This window comes from Homo sapiens, chromosome 12 (genome assembly GCF_000001405.40).
Source record: "Homo sapiens chromosome 12, GRCh38.p14 Primary Assembly".
Taxonomy (NCBI): Eukaryota; Metazoa; Chordata; class Mammalia; order Primates; family Hominidae; genus Homo; species Homo sapiens.
The window spans coordinates 16594971-16617783 of record NC_000012.12 but is presented as its reverse complement, the minus strand read 5'-3'; the positions used below and the strand labels follow the sequence as shown (position 1 = coordinate 16617783).

At 36.8% G+C, this 22813-nt stretch overlaps 1 protein-coding gene across 17 annotated transcripts in view, besides 2 other annotated features; it reads left to right on the top strand.

Moving 5' to 3' along the window:
- Positions 7300 to 7799: an enhancer, noted in NCBI's record as "H3K4me1 hESC enhancer chr12:16762919-16763418 (GRCh37/hg19 assembly coordinates)". NCBI's record gives its function as "activates a minimal SCP1, AML or CMV promoter by ChIP-STARR-seq in naive H9 embryonic stem cells {active_cell/tissue: H9 hESC(naive)}" and the evidence as "EXISTENCE:reporter gene assay evidence [ECO:0000049][PMID:30033119]".
- Positions 7610 to 22813, top strand: part of LMO3 (LIM domain only 3) — a 61803-nt gene continuing 46599 nt past the window's right edge. For 2 of the 17 annotated variants that reach the window (NR_045012.1, NM_001243609.1), the window contains exons 1-3: positions 9570 to 9848; positions 11652 to 11718; positions 16916 to 17129. Coding sequence is in view for 13 of the 17 variants with exons in the window: in NM_001243609.1 (NP_001230538.1) it covers positions 16924 to 17129 (206 nt within the window). In the remaining 4 variants the exon portion in view is untranslated. The other 15 variants (XM_047429153.1, NR_045013.1, NM_001243613.1 and 12 more) reach the window with 15 other exon arrangements.
- Positions 12688 to 13188: an enhancer, noted in NCBI's record as "H3K4me1 hESC enhancer chr12:16757530-16758030 (GRCh37/hg19 assembly coordinates)". NCBI's record gives its function as "activates a minimal SCP1, AML or CMV promoter by ChIP-STARR-seq in primed H9 embryonic stem cells {active_cell/tissue: H9 hESC(primed)}" and the evidence as "EXISTENCE:reporter gene assay evidence [ECO:0000049][PMID:30033119]".

The window sequence follows — 22813 nt, the reverse complement described above, 5'->3', positions numbered from 1 at the left end:
GGTCCTCATATTTCTTTCCAAAAAATGTAATGCTAAACTATCTGATTCAGAGTAATCAAACAAATAGATGTCAAAAAAGCAGTTTGGAACCTACTGTCATATCAACTGAATATTAGAAAAGTAATTTTTTACATATTAATACCATTATGCACAATAATTGTACACTTGAGAGTTGAACAATAAGGTTAAACTGATTGAAGTATTAAGTGACATGAAGATTGTTTCCTTTTTTCAACTCAAATGATGGTATACAACCAAAAAAAAATACAAATTACCATTTTCTAAAAATCTATGAAGCAGTCCTATGTTAGGCAAGATATGGAGCACATATCTGATTTGAAGTCAGAAAATGTAAGTTCAAATTTATTTCTTACTTAGTGTGGTGTCTTGAGAAAGTTGGCCAAGCATCCTAAATTTCCTAATCTGTAAAACAAATCTAGTCGTGATAAAGGCCTCATTAATGAGAGAAATAAATGATTTTAAAAAGTTGACAATATATTGCCATATAGATAGCAAACAGAAACTATCAAGCATAATTCTCAGCCATGTAAATACAGTTGTCCCAGAGTATCCATGTAGAATTGGTTCCAAGACCTCCCGCAAATATCAAAACAGCAAATGCTGTAGTCACTGATATAAAATGGTGTTGTATTTGTGTATAACCTATGCACATTTTCCTGCATACTTTAAATAATCTCTAGATTACTTGTAATACCAAATACAATGGCAATAGTTGTTTAGGGAATAACAACAAGAGTATGTCTGTATATGTTAAGTACAAATGCAGTTTTTTCCGAATATTTTTTATCTGTAGTTGGCTGAATCCATGGATATGGGACCTACAGTTACAGAGGGCCAACTGTATGATATTTTGGACATCTCGCAAGTGCTAGTTAGTTTCCTAGGTCGTTGGACCTAACAAGAGGCTCCATCTGAACTGTGAGGTTTGCAATGAGACATGAGAAATATATTTCCTGGTGATGGGGAAGCGGTCGGAGTTGAAGAGAATCAAATGAAATCACAGGATTACAGAAATACTCTACTGCTTGATGAAATATCTAACATTGCACCTAAAATTTTGATCCAAATAGATAAAGGCAAAACTCCCAATCCTTTTGTGCCATGACCCTCCCATGTTTGGGTTTTAAAATCTGATTCTTTTAGATTAATTTAGAGCAATCTTTCAAGTCATTTGTTTTGTAAATGTACATAAATATTCATTTTGCTGATCTTTTATACATACAAACCATCCTTAAATGGTTTTTACATAAGAAAATACATTGTGTAGATATGAAATTCTTGGTTCACAATATCATCCTTTTAAAATTCTTATTTTTCTTTTTTTGAAATATTTACAGTTAGTGTCTGAAGCTAGCTGGATACATTTTTCTTTGGTGAAAATCGCTTCTTTTCCTATTTCCCCCCTATTTGGATACTTGAGTTTCTAAATTATTATTTGTTTCTTTTGCAATTCAGAAGTTTTCAATATGAGTTTTGTGGGTCTCCTTTATCATTTTATCTTGAAGTTAGTAAAGTCAATCAATTCTGAATATGTAGGTCAAACAGTCAATTTTTCTGTTATACTTTTATTTACTGCTTCTGTTTACTATGTTGTAATTCTTTATTCAGGACCACTAGTTAGTTACATATTGAAGCTCCATAATAGGTCTTATAAACTATCATGTTCCTTTCATACTTTTCATCTATTTGTCCTCATCCTGTACATTTTATGACAGCTTCTCAGCCCATCCTCCCTGTCACTTCATTCCTGCTTCAGTATTACCATTACTAGAGTTTAGTATTCTCAGTACCTTTTAAAGTGTGTGGCTTAATTTTTCTGTTACACCTTAAGTTTTGTTGAAATTCTCTTTTAGCTTTTCTGTCCCTCTTTTGTACCTCACCCTTTTCCTTGTAGGCTGATTATCCTGCTCCATGGAGGTTCATGAAGCATTTCTTTTTGCATTTTATTGAACATAGCAAACAGGTTCCAGAAATGTTCTCTTGAGTCTTACAAGAAATCAATTTTAAAAACATATTCTTCCTTTGGGCTTCCAGGTTGGTAATTATTTTTCCCTTATTCCACAGTAATTCTTGGTGCTTAATGTTTTGTTTCTTTTTACCTCTCTTTACAAATCATTACATGGAGTACTTTCTAAACTCAGTGACTCTCAGAATATAGGATGAGTGGATTGTCCTTAGACACACTCTCTGACCAAAAAAATAGCATGGCAACAATGGCAACAAAATCTCCTTCTCAGATTCACATCTAGAAAGGAAGTTGATTGCCCAGATTCCAATATGATTTTTAGTTTTTAACTGAGTGGTGATTTCTCTTTTACCTCCTGCCTGGTCCTTTGAAACTCTGAGAAGATATAATACACAACAGTCTAAAAGTCCCAGCATTCAATGTATTTAGGATGTTTCTCTCACCATCTTCAGATCATTTCTTCTGGAGGAAGAAGCAGCCAGTATGCAATGAGCAATCAGTAGTCCCCCCCTATAGCTTCTGCTTACTTGTTTCTGAAAGATGTTGTTTCTAAATGGGGAGTGAGATGGCAGTTGGGGAACCGGATGGAGGTCTGAGAATTGACCTAAAATTGCCTCAACAATCAACATTTGGGCATTCTTTTTCTTTGGTTAAAATACACTCTGGGTATAGACCAGTAGGCATAACATGATAAAACTACAAAGCGTCTTCCTATCCACTTTAGGTGTTGACTTTGTCATGAGATAAAACCTGAGAGTGCCAAGAAAATTGGCCTAACTGTAATTAGTGGGTGTTCCACCTAGATGCTTTGCTTTAGCGTATTTGAGACTTGATGCCATGATTTTGTCTTTTTAGTGTTTTCTTAAGTATTTTAGGACATAATGAGGAAAAGCTACATCCTTTTAAATGTCACCTAAGATGTTCTATCACTATAAGTAGACTCTTAAAGGTGTTATTTGATATCTGATAGTAATAACTAATAAATATCCTCTGCCTAGCCTAAGCATTCTTACCACTATAAACCTTGTAAAAATTCTAAATGTCTGTATATTATAGGAAGCTTTTGTAATTCTAGTTTCTGTTAAAATTCTATTGACCTCCATTTTGTATCTCCCTTATTTGTCACAGAAAGCTAGTGATTTTAAGTAATGATAATTTTATTTAGATTAACTGTCCATTGAATCTTTCTATTTCTTCTTATTTTTCTATTTTGCCATTCATGCAGTAAACATTTAAGTACTTACTGTGTGCTAGACTGTGCCCTGCAGATACTAAAATATATGTTCTGCCTGTAAGAACTTATGGTCTACTCATGAAGACAGATGACAAAATCAACATTTACAGTATGCTGTAATAAATCTTTTTAAATATTTGCATAATGTAAAAATATCTAATTTTATTGTATTTTATTTTATTTTTGAGACAAGATCTCACTCTGTCATCTGTCAGGTGCAGAGTGCAGTGAGTGGCATGAGTGGCTAGAGTGCAGTGAGTGGCATGACCTTGGCTCACTGGAACCTCTGCCTCCCAGGTTGAAGCGGTTATGTGCCTGCCTCGGCCTCCCAAAGTGCTCGGATTACAGGCGTGAGCCACCGTGCCGGCCCTAAAATATCAAAATGTTATCAACGAACATCTGACTTTACTATGCTTAGATTTTTATTTTTGTCAATAACTTAGATTTAAAATTTTCATTATAAACATTTTCTTTAGCACTGTAGCTTCTTCGTTTAATTCAAATCAATTTGATCAGCATTTAATAAATGTCTACTGTGAGCAAGACACTCTACTTGGCACTGTGTGGTATGCAAAGCTAAATAAGACAAAATATGAATCCCCCAGGTTTTTAGACTAGCAGGGAATACAGACTATCCATAATTCACTTTCAATAAACTACAGAAAGTGTTAAAGAAGCACAGAAACAGAGAAGATCACAACAAGAATGATTGTACAATGAGGAGTAAAAAATTGAGCTGGGCTATATTGAATATGATAATAATTAGTACCATTTATTAAGATGCTTATATAAGCTAATCACTATAGTAGATGCTTTCTGTGCATTGTCTCTAATCTTGGAAAATGCAGATATTTTTAACTTTGTGTTATCTACATCAGTTCAGAGGGCCTAACTGAAATGGAGTAACATGCCTTTGAAACATTGCTTAAAAATCTTTCCACCCATTTCTTGGGGAGGAATGAGGGTAGGGATGGGATTCAGTGGAAGACAATTACTTGATGCAAACACAATAAAAATTAAGTACTTAGAGAATGATTGGGCAACCATTATCTGCATTAAACTTAGCACCTTTGGCAGACTACATTGCCTATCAGACCTCAGACCTGGCTTACAGCCACATAAAGATGTAAACTTTCTAACAGTATCCAGACTCAAAAAGAAATAGTTAGAGGATTGTAAAGTAGGTGCCATCTTCTTTTAGATTGTATACATCTAACTTCTAAAAGAATTCAACCAAGATAAACATATTAAATTTGTCTCTGAAATATGAAGTGGTGACACATGTTTTCCATGTAAAAATAAATATTACAACTTAAAAATAAAACAACTCTAAATCAAATTGAATAGGGACTGGCAATAGCCAGAATTGTGGTTGGCCCAGATTCTTAAAAGACACTATCATTTTAAAGCCTCAGATAAGTTTTCTTTTAGCAGTGGCTAATGATTCTGTTCAATGTGTGGAAAATTGAAACAGAAGTGTATAATTTTGGAGAGAAAATTCCATTTATGAATGAAAACTTACAAAATTTGCAGGAGGGACAGGTGGGTCATTTTTACTTTGCCTTCTTAGCTTATTTTACATGAAATCCAGTCTGCTGTGATGTCTGTATAGGTAAAGAATTAGCAAACATTTTGAAAGCTCATTTAGCATATTACACACATGTAAGTTACAACTTGTCATGCAATATGATTTAAACTGAGAGCAGTTTGCTCTTGTGGAGTGATTCAGAGGAAAGGTATCAAGCCTGTTAGAAACTTTGTTTTGTTTGTTTAGCTGTTGTTTTCTTTTTTCTTTCTTTCTTACAAACTGAAGTAAAGTATTGCCTATTGTTAGGCTTACTACCCACCCTAGGTTATTGGAAATTAAAACTCATTTTCATTTTCCTCAAAAAGTATTCATTGTCTTTAAAAAAATACTATCCATGGAAAGAATTGTCAGGGAATTGAAGCCTGGCATGGTTGCTTAATAGTTCAATACATTGTGTAAGGATATTTAAAATAATTACATATTTTTCCCAGCTGCTTGGAGGCATATGCGAATGCCATGTACTACTTTGTTCAGAAAGTGATTTTCTTTTAAAGTGATGAAAATTTTCTTTCAAATGAGTACAAACAACATGATATTTATTTCATTTTAAATTCTTCTGAAAATAATCTCTGGTAAATTATAAAATTAATCTTGGGGCCTCATTTTAGTTTCTTCTTTTTATCTTAAAAAGGTATTGAATATTAGATTATTTGGTTTCACTTTCTGCTTCCATTAAATTAGAAGGAGGCTGCTTTGCCATTTCAACTGTATAAGAAAATGACTAACCCCATTTATTTCTTTAAGGATTACTCTTACCTTAAATTTGTTCACAAAATGTTAAAATAAAATTACACTATTGTAAAGCTGCTCCCTTCTGACCAGGGTAAATTTAGGGTTCTAAATTTAGTGATATTTTGAAAGCAGAGGCTATGTTTCCCTTAAAAAGACGTTGATACTACTACAAAAATTAAATGAATAATGTGTGTTCTTTTTAAGAATCTTATTTATTCTACATAGTAGACTTACAAGTCAAGCACTAGTTTGATATAAGATAAATTTGTTTAATCAATCACTGTGACTACTGTAAAATCAGCATCCCTTTAGTATGTTGGTGTAAGTGTAATATCTAAGTGTAATTTTTAGGTGACACACTAGTATAGCTGAGATGGCAATAGAGCATTTGAATTTATTTTGGAAAAAAGAAATAATAAATTAGATAAGATCTTACTAAATTTTAGATTAATTATCCCTCAAACAATCTACCCTATGTGTATTTACGTGTAGGAATATGCATATCTGTGAATAATAGCAGACAGCAGAGAGAGGGAATGAAAAAATTGAGAAGTATCTCTTAGAGCCATTGGAGAATTTCTCCTAAGTGTTAAAAAGCCATTTAAAACAGTATTGAGAACTCGATGCTGCCAGGTTCAAAGTGTTCAGTTTCAAAACCCTCAAAAAGACAAATATTAACTCTTTGTCTTAGGATACTAGTCCACATTTTTTTTTACCAGTAAGAGTAATCTTGTTGCTGGAATTATTTAAGCTACATATTTCTTTAGCACGGCAAAATGAAAGTGAATCCTAGGCACCTGTGTGTGGGAAAGTAGTCTACAGCAAAGCCCAGAGGAGCTGGGTGAAACACCAACCCAAAGAGATAGCGACCAGGGGCAAGCTAGACACAGGGGTTTGCCAACTTGAAATATGGGTTCTCTCAAACTTTGTGTTTGCCTTATGGCCTGGGGCTTTTATTCAGTATAACATTCAAATTCCTAGAAAAACAGCTCACTCCAGTTCTGCACCTCAGTCCTGTGGGGGTTAAAAAAAAAAAGATGAATGTAGCTATGAACTCTGTTCATCTTCAACCTAATGGACTCACCCTCCCTCCCCCATCTCTCTTTCCCTCCTCCTCATAACACCCTTTGTCCACTTTTATGAATTAAAACATGCACACACACTTGCACACACAGGGAATCCTGCCCATTAATTAAAGGACTTGTCAGCCCCAATCCTAGATTCTTACAGTGCAGGAAATGTCTCTCCTTTTAAGTGCAAAACCATAACATTACCATTTCCCCAAGTGCTCTCTGTTTTAGGCTGCTTTCCTAATTAGAGGGATGATAACAGCCCTGCTGATTGGCATTATAAAAGCACTAGTTTGGCTTCATCTGTCCCAGGTGTGCTGTGTAATTTTTTTCTTCTCACCGTTTCAGAGCACTACCTCTCTCCTTCATTGTTCCTTAAAGTTTTCATCTGAGGAATTAATACAGATAAAAAGACATTAGAAAGGAAGCACCACTGCCAAAGCTCATCACTGAAACCTTTTATCAAAAGTACAAACTATACAAGTTAGAGGATTTTTTTTTTACCCTTTTGTTTCTGAGGGTTAAGGGGGTGGGGTGGGGGTGGTAGTGTGGAGAGGAAAGGAGAAGAGAGGCTGGGGGAGAAAACACAGCTCTGTCAATGGACTGAATGCACCATTAAAACTGGCGTCACTACAAAGGTTAGAGCAGATCTAACTGTCAATACAGTGAGTAGAGTGGAGTCCGGTAAGGGGGAGCTTTGGTGAGAGATACTTTGATATTTTGGAATGTTAGAAGGGTGAATGTGAAAAATTGGAGGTTGGGGATCTAATTACCCAACCATAATTGGGGGCTAGGGAATAAGTTGCAGTCCTCTCAACTCACCGCAGATCAATTATGTTAAGAGAACATCTGTAAGTAGAACTTAATGAGGTCCATTAGAGCAACATGTACAGCCTCCTCTAACAGTACTTGTCAGCTTCTTGGATGAGCTGAAGGAAGCTGCTAACTAGGGACCTGGCGAGGTGTTTAAATACTGGAGGAGCAGCTCTGGCCCACTCAGGTTTTGTATGCAGTTCGGGAAGAAAGTGAGAAAGGGAGAGGCACACAAGAAAGACAGGAAGCCTGAAGCAGAGGTTTCTTTCATTTGTGTTGCTGAATTTCGAAGAGTGATGGTGGGAGTGTGTGTGGTGGGGGCAGTATCAACCTCATCCTTCCCTTGACCGAGACCTTTCACTGCTCCTGGACTTTCAGGGTGTGCTATCCTTTGCCTCCCCCCAACAACCTGTCTGCTGCCCTAAAAAAAAAATTAAAAAAAAAAAAGACGGCAACCTAACCGGAGCATCTCTGGGACGCCACAGAAATCGTAACTGAACACCCGCACACAAAAGTAATCTGTGAGGTGTGTTTTAAAGAAAGAAACAGCTGAAAACTTGAAGACGTGTTTAGAAATATACATATATACACACTATTTTCTTGTGGGAGATCTCCTTTGGGCAAAGGTAAGTAGTATATATCTAATCACCCCCTCAGCACCCTCCTCCACCCCATTTTGTCATTCCCCTCCCCTTTTCCCCTCATCAAGGTATCACAATATAAGACCCCTGAAGAAGACAGTCTGCCTTTTTTTTTCCTTTAATAAGTGTTGGGATGGGGGCTGGATGAAGTAAATTCTCTCATCAAACGTCTGATGATGAGTTGCAGAAAGAGGGCACAGGCAAAAGGTAATCGGACCAAAAAGATCTGGCTCTTTATAGCAATCCTTTCGCAAAGATTTCCAAAGGATCTGTAATTAAACTGGGTAGTTTACTCTCAGGAAATGAAGAAACTGCTTGCCTGGCTGGATCCAACCTTTAGCTTGGCTGAGTAAACAAAAGCACAAATTCTTCTTTCACTTTTTCCCTCGCGGGAGGGGTGAGACTTTGGGGTTGGGGGGAGCCAGGAAAACAGGGAGTTTGCTGAGGGTTAATGGTGTTTTTCGCAAAGTGTCAGCAGAAGATGATTAAATTCCACCTCTTGTTCACCAGATCACTTTGTGTGCACTTGTATATTTCATTGTCGGCAACCGCTGATGATCACATCTGTGCAGTACATTAAGTGGCAAGCCTCTTCATCTGCACGGGGTTTTTCTGATGATTTTTTCTGTGAATAATTCATATGATTATGAAGAGAAAAACTGCTATTTTCTATCTCTCTCCCTTCTGTAGCACAGATTAAAAAAAATCTTGCTGTAAATTGCGTGATTGGGGAGATAGCCTGCTTTCAAATAATTTAATTCATGACAAAACCTAATTACTGTCAGGTAATACCCTGTCAGCTTTAATGCATTTCATCAGTCATAATGAAAAGAAGAGCATTTTATGACCCATCTAATTATCATTACATTTTAGGGGAAAATGAATGGCATGGAGCTGAATGTTAACTATTCCATTTTATTCCTTTACACATGTGGTTTGGCATATTATTCGCTAAGTTCCTCTCTCTCTCTCTGTCTCTCTCTCTCCTCTGTCTCTCCTTCTCTCTCTCTCTCTCCTCCTTGCTTGGCAGTATTACTTGCTTATAAGTGTGGGGGAAATGGTAAAATTGAGAGGAAAAGGAAGATTGGGGAAAAAGGAAGAGGATGGGATGCACTTAGAGATCTGGGTGTTTGTCCCTTAAGAAAAAGGTGACAAAGTGGTTAATGTCTTTGCAGGTTGGTGTTGATATCAGGAATCTTACTGCCACAGTCCAAATAGAGTACTAATTACCGCGAATGATGTCACCGTAGGCAGAGGAATAATCCCATCATTTAATTAGTTGAATGATTTAAACAAAGATTTGCATAGATGCACTAATCAGTTGCCATGAATTACAGAGCAGCAGTTGCCAGCGAGGGGTAACAGATCATACAGTTGGAGGGAAAAAAAATCTCATCTCCTTGAACATAATTAATTTAATTGTCCTCATTAGCTGTACCATTTGTTTTGATTTTATTTCTCCCTTTCCCCACACATACTTCTCCCTCCCTCCCTCCCTCTTTTCTTCTTCTCAGTGCATTGGCTGAGACAGAGCGCACGAGACACACACACATGCATGCACACATATGCACACACACACACTCACACATACTGGGGTGTTTTCAGAGTGGCTGTAGCAGAGAGGTGGGGTAGAACAGTGGGGAGCTGTGCGGATGGGTGAAGTGCATGTATGCCTGCCTAGACGGGCCAGAAAAGCCAAACTTAAGAAATCTGCCTATGTACAGAACAAGTCAACTAAGGGGTTCTCATTAATCTACCGTCTGTGAATATCGTTATTTTTCAGGTTAGTTCTGAGTTTTGTTGCCTTTTAAAGGGAGAGGAAAGCAAACCACAGGCTATTTTATTATGAGCCTTCAAAAGGGAGGGGGTAAAAACTAGTTATCAATGTTGTGCCTTTATTCTTTATGAAGAAAAACAAAATTTAGCTTAAATACTCATGGGGGGGGTGCTTTGATTTTTTTTTTAAAACTAGAGCTAGATTAAAACTGATGGTGAAGAGAAGAAAAAAAGTTTTTTGTAGTTCAACAATTGAATATTTCTTGGCTCTTAAACATTTCAGTGAGTGTCTTTCAAATGTGGACCATTTTTAAGCTTGACCTCTGACAAAGCTTTGTAAAATCTGGTGAGGGTACTTTAAGAGCAGCCCAAACAGAGGGTGACTTTGAAGTTTGAAAACTTAGAAAAATAATAAGGTATTTTAAAGCTACCAGTGGCCTTTATAGATGCCAAGGAAAGTTAAGAGGAGAGGAGGTTAGAGAGAATGGGACCTATTAGAAAAAAAAAAAAAATCTGTCAAGGCCTTAAAACAAGCCTGTGAAGACAAAGCAGTAATGGTGCAGAAACTATGGTTCTTTGACCAAGTTAGTCCTGAAAACATGTTTCTCAGTGCTGTTGGCTGTTTTTCATTGGAGCGTGTGAGTTTTAAATAGTAAGGAATTCAAGTAATTGCAGGAAGTGTGTTTCGGGGTGGTGGTGGTGGGGGTCAGCATTAGTGAATGGAGAACAAGTTCACAGTTTGGGTCTTGGGCCATTAGAGGAAGGGAGGAAGGGAGGAAGGAGAGTGTGTGTGTGATCCCCTGAACCAGGCTTGTGTGGCGGACTTGCGGAGCAGCGACTTCAGAGAGTTCATGAATGGAAGTCACAGACAGACCAGCGACTGCAGCCACCTCCAGGCATTTCTTAAAGGGGAGGGTTGTGTGCTTTTTCCAGGGTATTCTGGTAGCAGTTTGATTCTCTTGCTTTTATTTTAATTTCCATAATTGGTAGCTTCAGAAATGGCTTTGGAAGGCAATTTGCTTTAAATGTAGCCACCTATTCCAAAATGCCCTGGTTATTTTAGGAACCCTACCCTTTTCCTCCGGAGCTCTCTCGCAGGAGTTCTTCTTTTGGACTGGTCCAGGAGGTAGGGTCCTTCCTCAGTCGACTCCTGCAGAGGTCACATTTTGTGTGCGGGTTTGTCCCCAGCGTTTGTGAGTAGCATATGCATGTGGTTGTGCTGACTGCACTCGCAGGCTTGTAAATTTTCACCCTGGGAAATTAGCAACAAAGCCCGATCTGTCTCGTGGCTGCTTTGCACTTTCCGAGGGCGGCTGTACTTGACTGAGCTGCAGAACAGGCACACGAGAGCGAGCGAGGGAGCCAGCGAGAGAGGGAGGGAGAGAAGGAAAGAAGAGGGGAGGGGTGGGGGCGAGAGGTAAATAGTCTTAAATCGGAAGGGAGCTGCTTCTCTGTGGTCTTGACAAGCGCTGCCTGGGCTCCGCCGGCTCACTAATAACTGAGTGACCTTTTCTTTGGCTGTATTATGTCTGGCTGGGAAGGGATTGCATTTTGCAGCTGAGAGCCGGAGCTTCCTTCAGCTCGGCTCCTCGCACGCTGCTGGGGTAAGTTGTCTTGAACCAGGACGGAGAGAGACAGCCTCGGACTGCAGTTGCCTAAAAGGAGGACACCTGTGGCTCAGATGCGGTCAACACCATTGCTTGGCGTATCCTTGAGGACCTCATTATTTTAAACTTAAAAAAAAATAGACATTCCCTCCCCCGTCTTTTTTTTTTTTTTCAAACAATGCTTCTTTTTGACCTTTCCCAAGGAGAAGCGCTACAAAGCAGCCACTGTGCTTACTGAACGGCCTCCCCCTGTATCGCTTAATTGAGAAGGTAAGTGCAGCAACTGTGTACACACGCGTCGGCTTATTTGTGGTGTGTGTGTCTGCGGGTGCGCGCGTGCGTGTGCGGATGTGGGTATTTTTTTCTTCCCCAACCTCTGCTAATGAGGCATAAACTGGAGCTGCAACCCAGCTCCGCACTGCAACTTTCACTCGGGCTGCAGCTCTACTGAGACGGTTTTGTTTAAATCATGTGAGGCTTCATTATTTTTATGATGAGACATGAAATAGATGCAGGCGGAAGATGTTGATGGAAGGAGGGAGAGCGGCTGCGGCGCGGAACGTCTCAAGTACGACTCGAGTGGATAATAGTCAAAGTTCACCATGAACTGCAGTATTTCCACACCCCTGACTCCCGGGGAGAGAGGGGCAGGGAGAGTTTGGAATTAGGAAGTGTTTGCTCCCAGCCCATAGGAAAAGAATTCAGTCCTGGGTGGGTTTCCGGACCCCTCCCCCTTACTTGCTGGAATTCATGAACCCCCACTTCTTAAAGAGTTGATATTACAATCTTTTGGTCCTTGTTGACGCTTCTGCCTCTCTCCACGCAGCCATAATAACAAAATGTTGTTCCTTTGCCGTGGAAAAGTGGCTGTGTTTGGGCATGGGGGCGGGGGGGGGGGGCAGGCGGGTAGGGGCAGAAGTGGCTAGAAGAGGGAAGGTCCCTGGACCAAGGTGCCTATATCCTAATAGATTGAGATTCAAACTGATGCAGCACATTTTTTACGGGGACTACTCAGATTGCTGTTATGAAATACAAGTCAGATTTATGATCTTTTTCATATTGAACATGATATGCTATGCTAACGCTGCATGTGACAGTTTAATCAAATCCATTTGTTACCAGGAAGCTAAAAGGGGCCGCTGGGATTTTAGGATTACGGGCAGAGTTAGGGAAGCATGTGGCTTTGTCATTCGCCATCATTTTGCACACTGCGAGGGGCTCCGTGTGTGCGCCCTGTCTTGTCTGGCCGTCCTCATCCCTTCCCCCACCCCCTGCCGCCACTCCGACCCGCTCCCAAAGTGGCTTCACAATAGTCGGTCCTCGGCGGTGTAGGCTGCGCACCAGGTCCACACTTAAGCGAAATCAAGGAGACCCCCTTCTACTTCTACCTTTGGGTTTGGTGCTCAATGCGAAGCTGCTGCAACTCAGACACGCCTAAGTCAACTCATGCAGAAAAAGGAGAAAAGTTTTGGTAAGGTTACAGTCTATCATAGATGCACTTTGCTGGCGCTCTGCACTCCTGGCCGCTCAAAAGCCTTTCTGCTTTTCCGCTGCTTTTGTGTCTTTCTGAAAGAACCGAAATATTATTGTTGTAACTGCTTTGAAAGACTGCTGCTTAAACCAATTAATCTTGCTAGATGCAACAAATACTGCTACATTCTTTGCAAACCATCCCTGTGTGGCTGCAAAGACACAACCACAAAAGGCTGGAGCATAAACTCCGCAAGGGATTCTTTGTTAGAGTGTATGTATGTTTCTTATTTTTTTTTTTTATTTTGCATGTGAGCTGCATCAAAATTGAACTCAGTCTTGCAAATCTCTTGTTGGCCTTTGCCAAGCACTAGCACTTTGCTGCCATGGTAACTGTAATTAAACTGATAAGAGTGGAAAAATGTCAGTATCTCTGAGCCTTGCAGCTGCATTGGAGAAAAAGGGAATCAAATTGGTTCCCAGCTCCATTGCTCAAAAAGGGGAGGGGGGTGAAGGATAGGGAAGGGGGCTGGGAGTTGAAGGGGCAGAACAGAGTTAAGCAGCTCCAGTGCCTGAGATCTGGGGACATCTATTTGCATTGTTGTCCCTTAGGGGGCTGCAGCCTGTAGGGATGCTCTGGGCCAGTGAACAGAGAGAAACAAGCTTTTAGGCCCAATCCAGTTTTCCAACCTGGGTTGGGGGCTGGGAAGAGGATGAAGATGGGCAGGAGGAGAGAAAATCTTTTGTCTGGTGCCTCTTGGCAATCGAATGGCCATGTTGGCCAAATTCTTTTAATCTGTGTCAATGCTCCCAGCTGCAGAACCTGCATTCCCATTTTAGCATCTTTCTGAAGCACCTCATCTCTTCCAACCCCCTTTATGTATTCCCTCTTCCTCTTCCCTCTCCCAAATTGTTCTCTGTGAATTTTCCGACGGACAAAATGTTTTCTATTCACTCTGTGTAGTTAGTCCAAAAATGTAAGACTGTGTCTAAGTGCTGCAAATCTTTCATTATTATTATTTTTTTTAAACCCCTGTGTGTTGTGGAGTTGTGGTTACTTTGTTGTGTTAACTACTGAAGCTGAGACTGTGCGGATGAATGGTACAGAACAAGGGAACATAATGGAGGCAATCAACCGTTAGGCCGCTTCACAATGCAATCCAGGCAATTAAAAGCTCACCAGAGTTTAAATGAAATGGTTCTACTTATTTCTGCACACCACACTGCACAGGCTATTATTTATGTCTTTTTTTTAATTATGATTTCCCTTAAACTGTCAAATAACTCAGAATGGCAGGGTCTCAGAGGCAATAAGAATTTCCCTCAGAACAATTTACATGCCAATCTAAAACTAGTTATGAGTTCTGATGTGCTATGAGCAACTTGTGAAATGTTTCTTAGCTACAAACACGTAACTCTACCCAGACATGTTCTTCTGGTGGAAGAGGGGAGACTGCTGACTGCTTTATGCCTTTTAAGTACACGGTAACATGGTGACTACAAAATAGTTCTTTTGCTACAATTGTTAACTTGCATGGAATTCAAGAGATTCCATTTTCAAGAGAATTGCCATGATGTTCTTCAAATAAGGTACCAGGATGGAGTGTGAAATATCAAACTCCTTTTATGCCCAAGGCCAAACAGAATGTAAGAGTTTCAAATATTAATTGGCCTCTGAGTGCTAAATTAAAATGTCAACACAACAAAAACATTTTGTGAAGACAAGTAGGGTAGTGTTACTTGTGCCAAATGTTGGTATCCCCTGTCTTGGTTGCAAAGCATTTTGAATAAAACAGCTGACCTTCTATGCTTGATGGTAGAAACACAACTGTGGGAAATATAACTTAGCTGCTACTGGGATTTTTTTTTTTTTCGATTTTTCATCTTTGAGCTTTGTGATAAATAAAAATAATAGCCTTACAAATTTAATAGAATGGCCGTTAATTAGGATGGCTTAATTAGAATGGCTTCTCTTAATATTTATTATCTAGGTGTTTTCAGTAACACCATCCAGAATTTCACTGAGTAAATCAAAACTTCCCCTTCCCCCTAGATATGTGGTTAACAGGCACTTGGATCTGTTGTTCACTGTAATTAATGGGATTCACTCCTTGTGGAACCTTGCTAGAAGAGGATAACTAGTTCTGATCAAAGAAACTTCATTTGTTAGAAGTTCTAGAGAGTGAGATTTAGCAGAGCTATCAAGGGTTATGATTAATCTACACTAGGCCCTTAGCTCCTTCAAAGGAAAGGAACAGAAAGCAGGCTATAGGGATACCACCTGCTCTTCTTACAAATCCAGCTGTTAGTCTGCAGCTCCGGTGACTACAGCTATGCTTATGATGCAGAAAGAAAGAACAGCTACTCTGCTTTATTTCCTGCCATTCCCTACACAACTCTACCAGACGAGTTATTTTCTAATGAAAGTTCAACATCCTAACAATATTTTGTGCAACTCATGTATTATTTGTAGTTAGAAAAGTTATTCCGCTCTGCGGATGCCTTGATGTCTCTTACCAGTGGGATTTTTTTTTTAAAAGGTTGTGAAAGTTGTGATGGGGGTGAAGCCTTCATCATAAGATATCAGAGGAAACTGGAGGAGGTTTAGCTGTTTTGGAGAAGGAAAATGTACAAAAGTGCAGATTATAGCTTGACATTTCTTATCCTATAATGCATGCACATTTGGTGTTTTGTATCCTTCTACATGCAAGTTTAAAACTTTATGCCTAGGAGAGCAAACATAATGCAGCAGAAGGGTCTCTGGACTGTAAGAAGGCCATTTGGCTGGAGTCTATAGCGTAACTGTCTTTCAGCTTTGAGCAAGTCTCTGAACCTCTCTTGGGCCTCGGTAACATAATTTGTAAAATGAGGGAATTTGGAATTGATGATGTCTGCAGTACTTTATAGTGCTTAAAATGAGTTATTTGATAAATATGAGGCATTGGATAGTTGGTCCAGCTTCTTGCTAAAGCTGGGTGTTTTAATACCTAGGAAATAAGAAGACACTCAAGGTGAATGTCCATTCATTCAAAAGATTTCAATCAAACTGTAAAGCCCATGGAATCCAGCTGGATTCCTTATTTATGATGGATTTATACCTTTAAAATATATAAATGTTTCTATGTTTAGCATAGTATACATATAACATGTATATATTTACTTATATATGTTTGTATAATTGTATATATATTTAGATCTTGCCTTCTATTGTTTTTTCTTTCCTTTATAAAACAAATAATTGCATGTTTATGGTAATAAATGGTATAATCATATACTTTAGGTTTACATAAAAGCATATAGTATATAGTTAAGTAATCTGCCATTAATATAGGTGCTGACTGATGCTTGTGAGTATAAATGTTATATTTGAACACAATGAATACTTTGAAATATCAAGGACATAGAAGAAGTATTTGGATGCAAGCAAGAAATATAGGATTGGTGAGCTTTTTGGGTAGCTGTTCTGTGTACTTAACTATAAACACCTCTACTGCTGAATAAGGTTAGTGTAACCCCATACCAGGTGCCCTCTCCTTCCACCATCAAGCACATATTAAGTGAAATTTTTAAACAGTTAAGCAAAACTCATTTTTTTACTTGTAGGGACTGTGCATAGATTAATTTGTTAAATAGCTTTCTTTTCAGATTGTTATTTACTCACATTTTCTTTCTAAAGGAACTGCTCTATGGGGAGAATGAAGATACTATAAAATTATTTAATGTTATTGAACTTCATATTTATAATGTCAATTTACCATGGTCAACATGAATTTATTATTATTGTCACTTGGCATGTGTAACTTTTTGAATGATTTAATAAGCACTTGATAAAGTTTGAGACTTTTTGTTTCCAAAATTGGGTTTGATTTCAGTATAGCCCTAAACAAGAAAAGCTAACACTCCTAGAATAAGGAAATATTAAATATTTAACTTGTTTGAGGTCTTTTTATTCTGTCTGGTAGTCTCAGCTCTCTTTTTTGCTTTTGTCTTCCTTTAGGTATACAAATGCTCTCAGTCCAGCCAGACACCAAGCCGAAAGGTTGTGCTGGCTGCAACCGAAAGATCAAGGACCGGTATCTTCTAAAGGCACTGGACAAATACTGGCATGAAGACTGCCTGAAGTGTGCCTGCTGTGACTGTCGCTTGGGAGAGGTGGGCTCCACCCTGTACACTAAAGCTAATCTTATCCTTTGTCGCAGAGACTATCTGAGGTAGGAATTATCCTTGCACACCAGTGATGACTGGATGCCTTTTAAAGTACTTTTGTAAGTGTATTTTTTGTTTGCTTGTTTCATTTCCTTACTGCCAGCTTATATTCCTGAAAGAAGTTACCTGTCAGCCTTCAAAGCGTTGCCCTGTGTGTGTTACTCAAATTAATGCTTAAGGAATAGCCAACAAACCACAATATTTAAAGTATTTCAATTTGGCTTGCCTGCACACTCAGGCAGTTGGTTATGGCGCTGCCTATGTTGAAACTGCCAGTTAATGTCAAGGATGTATTTGGTCGAAATCAGCATTCAGGTTGATTTACTTATTTTTTCTTTTTTTTCTTTTTTTTTTTTTTTTTTTTTTTTGGAGCTTAAGGGGGAATGGGGGTTGAGCATAACACAAAGAAATTGATCAGCCATTTGGCAAAATATCTTAACTATTTTTAAAAAGTTCAACTTGAAAAAAATGGACTGTGTAAAAGAGTTTAATTGTTGCCTCTAAGTTGGACCTGAATTTAGTCTTCTAAAGTTATTCAGCTGTCTTCTCTGTTTCAGGTGTGTCAGAGGAAGTCAGGTGCAAATCCTTGGTTAATATCTATTAGTGCATTTATTGTAGAGTTTTGAAAACTTTCCCCAAGTGTAGATACATCTTCCTCTCGCCCCACCTCATGACATTCTAAACGGGAATCTCAAAAATACAACTAAGCAATTGAACCGCCTCAGACTTGCCAGTAGTTTTATGGATAATAACAAAGTAAAGACCTCCATCATTATAGGAAAATGACAGCCACTCTCCAACCTGTAAACATCTGAATGCTTTCAGGACAAGGCAGGTGTTCTTGGTTATGGAGCTATGAAGCCTACTAAAGCTTGTTTTCCAGCATTAAGTACTCAACACAGAATTTCTGCTGAAGGAAAATTATTTTGCTTTTCAGGCAACTTTGTGACTTACTTCAGCTGCAAATTACTTATATTAATAAAGTAGGATCTATCAAATTAGAGAAATGATATATGGCATCATTGGGATTTTCATATTTAATACAATTTATCATTTTTCTGGTCTGACATTAAGCGATTTATTTGGAATTTTTTCCCTTATGACAAAATTTATCAATCAATGGTAACTCCTTTAGTACCTTGGTCATTTGATGAGGTGTTTTCTAGGGAATTTGGTCGTTCTTAGTATATAATTCAGCTATTTTCAGTCAGATCCAATCTTTAGATATAAAAATATATCATTTGATTAATGGTAGTTACAAGAGGGTGAAAGCGGTACTGTTTATCAGATTCTACTCCTTCTCGCTCTTAGGACGGCCTCATCTGACAGCCTCCTGACTAATTATGGCCACTTGTTACTACTTCTCTGTGTTCCAAGTGCGTAAAACACATGCAAGGTGCCAACAATGAGAAGTCACTCTCTCCAGCCAGGATTTCCCTCATTGTGTTGGCACAACGAATCAAAATTAATGTACAATGTTCATTTTTTTAGAACTCTCCGGTCTTTGAACTTTCCTCTTTGAAATAAAAATTTCTCTTCTGCCCATTGTGAATTAGAGCCTCATTTCCACATAAAGCATTTGTATTTGCTTTTAGTGATTTAATACTGCTTTTTAGTTTTGCTTTATCTGTACTAACCAATAGTCATAGCTTTTTGACTCCTTTTGACTTTTACATTTGTTTGTAATTTCAGTATCTCAAGTGGATTTATGTTACCATTTCAAATAAGGAGTTTATATAGCCCGGGCAATGTTAAGGTGTTTTAATAAACCAAAGGACAAAAATTAAGTAAACTTGAAAGAATGTCAACTGAAATATCTGGGGTTTTTGAAAACAAAAATAAAAATTTGCCAAGGAAATACCTATATTGTGAGTATAACATGCTTCTTAGCTGTCAACATAGCATCGAGCAAAGACAGTAATCTTAGATTTGTTTTGTTTTCTTTTTCCTTGTGGTAGTAAAAATATATTTGATAGTCTCAAGTGTTTTGCTAAAACGCATTTATCAAAAATAGTTTTCATATCAGAAGTTTTTGTATCTCTATAAGAGTGTATGTGGCTTTTTGTAGAATAACTTTCAGTTACCTCCTGATAGGCTCAAACTTTTAATGGTGGTTAACTTATTAAAAGTATATAATATTCTTTCAAATATAAACCCTGGTCCTGATTGCCAATATATTCATTTCTCAGAGTACGATTTCCGCTTAAATTGGTCATTACCACATTAATGGCCAGTTGTTATGTTAACAGCCTAACGGTTGTTAACATTTCAAACTAAGTTGTTAACAGCAATCTTGTCCCTTATTTAAACTGAAAGTTTGTTGTATATAATGTGACTTATTTGGCAACTTCATCAACACTTAAAATTGCAGAAGTGAAGTGGAGAATTGGTGTGTGTAAAACACTGTGTTACGTGTTATAGATTATGCCGCAGATGTGGTATTTAGTTTTATGTGGAAAGCATGTGTCTCAGTGAAATTGTGTAGATGTTCAACTGCATATGTCTCTGATTGGCAAATTAAAATAGTCTGATTCTGTATGGTAAATCAACAAATATAGTCAAGCAGATTTTATTTACAAATTAATTTCTTTGATTAGATACAAATAGTTGTTCAAAAATGTTTATTAAATGCTTACTGTGTGAGAGGTATGATTTCAGGCAATGGGTGAAATTAGCTAAAGGAAAAAGGAAGGTACACCTAAAGTTGCCACTATCTAATTGTTTATTTAATTACATAGAATCTGTAATATAATCAGTGAACAAGTAATATTCTGTGGTTATTTTCCTGAGCTTTAAAAGTAATTTTTCTCATTTTCCTCCAAATTCAGCATACTTCCATTTTGTATTTTATATAACCAATGTTTAATCACTTAAGTTCTATTTTAAAAGTTGTTTTATTTTTGGCCCTTTGATATTATGTAATTTCTCTGAGGCACCAAACTGAACATAAATAACTTACATATTTATATTTCATGTCTAAATTATTAAGAACATAAGTAAGAATAAGGAAAGTAATAAAATAGTAATTTGCCTGTCCACATATATTGTTGGTTACAAGTATTGTCCTGGGCCAGATAATTTTTTACATACAGTGAAAAGTAAAATATTTTTGCCAATTACATTTAGCTTCTTAATACACTTCTCCCTCCATAAACAGAAAGAAAGAAACACTCCTAATTATGAGCAATGAGACTTAAAGATCTGTGTTTTACTTGTGTTACTTTGAGTAGTGATAATGATGATGTGATTTATAAGTTCTTTGAATGATGATTTGAGATATTAAATAATATGAAAATATAATAATTTAGACTGTAAGATATTTTCTTAAGGGTTATAGAAACTATTATTATGGAAAATTTGATGTCTTTCCATTTTTTTTCTCCTTTATGGCACTAGTAGCTATATTTAAGAGAAAAAGAAAGAAAAATCTTCCATAGTTTGTACACTAAGTATCAAATCTTAACAGTGGAATTTTTCACTTTCCAGAACTGGACTGGCATATCATTCATTTAGCTGTGGAACATAAAATGTACATATCTGATGAGACAGAATTTGCCCATTTGTGGGATTGCTTTCCTCCTTTGGAAACTCATTAGCTAAAGAAAGAGAAGGACTGACTTTTTAAAACTTCCTCTAACATGTTTCTGACTGAAATTATGAAATCTACCCAGTCAATATTTATATGCCAGGCAGACCAAGAAATGTATCTGTTAAAAATCTATCCAATGCATTTATAATTATTTTTATTTTTTTGAAGAGTAACTTATGACAAATTAGATATAGAAACATCTTTGTACTTTAAGTTGGAGCTTAAAATTGATATTGTCTAAAGTAGATTAAAAATGACTGTGTAAAAATAGCAAAGTTGTAGTGATAATGTTTAAGGTACTCATCACTGCGATCTATCCGCCTTATTTCAGTTTGAAAAAATATGAATAAAGTAGCCAGCCAGTGCATAATCAGAGTCTTAGAATTAGGAATTCTACATGCTTTTATTTAATGTTTTGCAGCAAGCATTAAATAGAACTAGGAGAAATACCAAAATACTTTCTTTTTCAACTTGAAGGCAATAAAGGATGTCAGAATGTAACTGGAACTCAACTTCTGGGCAATTTTTTTGTTGTTCTTTCTTTGAACCTGCAACTTTTTGTGACGTACTTTAAGCATTAAGTCTATATAGGCTGTATGTATCTTGTATCTCTATGAATGATATCTTGCCAGAGTTTATTCAAAGCTGTTTGCTGTGGTATGTGCCATGGAAGCTGCTTATAGCTTTTCCTATATAAGAAGCTGTAAAATGTCTTATATAAAATTTAATGCAATTTGCTATTTTTATACGTGAGGATGATTTGTTTAAAATGAAACTACTGGGAAAGAGTGATGCTTCATGCTTCACCATAGTTGCTAATTAACTAAAATGATTTGAAGCTTGCTATGCTGACTACAAATTTTATAGGCTTTAATATAATAATATAATAACTCTAAAAGAGAAAATAAAAATAAATTGCCACATAGGGCATAAATCTAGCTGTAACTTTATCTCACGCTGATCAAACCTGGTGCTTCTAAATTTTTATGTAAGGTCAGCTTTATATTGGTACATAATTATAAGTGTAAAGGTAAATAGGAATATGTTGTTAATATTATTTTATCTGGCAATTTATAGCACAGATGCTTTTTTAATGTTGATACAATATTCATTCTTTTTTCTTTCATTGTCATCTTTTTAATAATCATTTGGAAGTATTTTTCCAGGAAAGCAATGTATTCTTATTATTTGAAAAACCACTTTTTACTGTTCTAAATTCTGAAAGCATAAACTTTTATATGAAATGGAACTCTACAAATAAGCTTTATTTCTATAAGCTTCATTTGAGCTTTTAAACACCATATTATTGTCATAATTTTTATGTTTGAATGTCTAAGTTAATTTTAGTATTATGAAATATTTTGACATGAGCATATTGAACTCCATATCTGTTACAAAAATACTGTTATATTCCTTAAAAATTATCTTATTTGCAGCTTTATAAAAAGTTACAATTTTAAGATCATTTTTCCCTTTATTGTAGAAGAAGCATTATTGAATTCTGTTTTAAATATTTTAGCGTTTATACTACCCTGAACCAATACAAATTAGGAGTGATAATTTTTTTGGATAATTCTTCAGAAGAGTGCCCCTCATTCTGGAAAATAGTAGGTGAATTCACATTAGACTTCCTGAGCAAAAACTGCCCCCAAACAACTTCTATTAAAAATATTTACTGCACATACAGAATTTCTTCTCATTGGTAAATTTATCTGCAATATCTTTCTATCTTTAATTCTATAATGCATTCATTTTCAGTAAATGAGTATTTACCAATAATATAATTATTTTACTTTTGTGGCTTTTTGTTTTAGTTTGTTTTGTAGACTTGAGATAGTTTCACTGGAAATTTCACGACCCCCCAGAGTATTAAAAATATTTTATAATGTTTCTGTATCTTTATAGTTTTTTATCTTTTAATAAGTATGAAATACTTCAGTCAGGATAGTTTTTACATGTAAGATGGATAAGTTAGACATACCTGACTTAGCAGAAAAATATTCTGTTTCTACAAGTGTATTTAGGATTAAATGCATCTGGAAAACCTACATTTGAGAATTGCTAAAATTGCTTATTTTGCACTTTATAAATACATAGAAT